This window comes from Homo sapiens, chromosome 15 (genome assembly GCF_000001405.40).
Source record: "Homo sapiens chromosome 15, GRCh38.p14 Primary Assembly".
Lineage (NCBI taxonomy): Eukaryota > Metazoa > Chordata > Mammalia > Primates > Hominidae > Homo > Homo sapiens.
Window position 1 is genome coordinate 62,342,046 of NC_000015.10, and position 1,093 is coordinate 62,343,138.

General features: G+C 51.8%; 1 non-coding gene across 1 annotated transcript; it reads left to right on the top strand.

Moving 5' to 3' along the window:
- The first annotated feature begins 983 nt into the window (after positions 1–983).
- On the top strand, positions 984–1,093 carry MIR6085 (microRNA 6085). Its single transcript, NR_106733.1, has one exon. It is a non-coding gene; the product is annotated as a microRNA 6085 (primary transcript).

Below are 1,093 nucleotides of genomic sequence, written 5' to 3' on the forward strand. Positions count from 1 at the left end.
GGCAGGCTGCATCCTAGGCCTGGGCCCCAAACTTAACAAAGGCTTCTGTGCTCCCAGTAGAAGAAGGCCCAACACAGCTGGCAGCCCTGAAGCACGGTACAGACTAAGACAGTGGGGGCCTCCTCACTGCAACCTGGGGGCCTCACCAGTGCCTCGCTCCAAGAATGGCCAGAACCTCTGTGCTCCCCTAGGACATCAGCACAGCCCTAGCGATGACTGCCCAGCAGTCACCGGACTTGAAGGTTAAATTAAGTTTATTTAAGAAAAGCAGGCCGGGCGCGGTGGCTCACGCCTATAATCCCAGCACTTTGGGAGGCCGAGGCAGGTGGATCACAAGGTCAGGAGATCGAGATCATCCTGGCTAACACGGTGAAACCCTATCTCTACTAAAAATACAAAAAATTAGCCGGGCGTGGTGGCGGGCACCTGTAGTCCCAGCTATTCGGGAAGCTGAGGCAGAAGAATGGCATGAACCTGGGAGGCGGAGCTTGCAGTGAGCTGAGATTGCGCCATTGCACTCCAGCCTGGGCGACACAGAGAGACTCCATCTCCAAAAAAAAAAAAAAAAAAGCAAACACGGTCAGGCACGGTGGCTCACACCTGTAATCCTACCACCTTGGGAGGCCAAGATGAGAGGATCACTTGAGCCCAGGAGTTAGAGACCAGCCTGAGCAACATGGTAAGATTCCGTCTCTACAAAACTGCAAAAATTAGCCAAGTGTGGTGGTTCAAGGCTGTGGTCCCAGCTACTCAGGGAGCTGAGGTGGGAGGATTGCTTGAGCCCAGGAGTCTGAGGTTGCAGTGAGCCATGATTGTGCCACTGTACTCCCACATGGGCAACAGAACGAGACCTTGTTTCAAAAAAAAAAAAAAAAAGAAAAGAAAAGAAAAAAGAAAAAAAGCAAAGGAAATGCAATATTTCTCTTATCCCCAAATTTATGGCTGAAATTCAGGCCTGCTGAACACACCCCTCACTGCAGCCTGTCTACCAGGTGTGGGCCCAGCTTTACATAGTTCATGCTGAGGCCGGGATTTCATGCAGAAAACTGGTTGCAAAAGGTGCTGAAGGGGCTGGGGGAGCACAAGGGAGAAG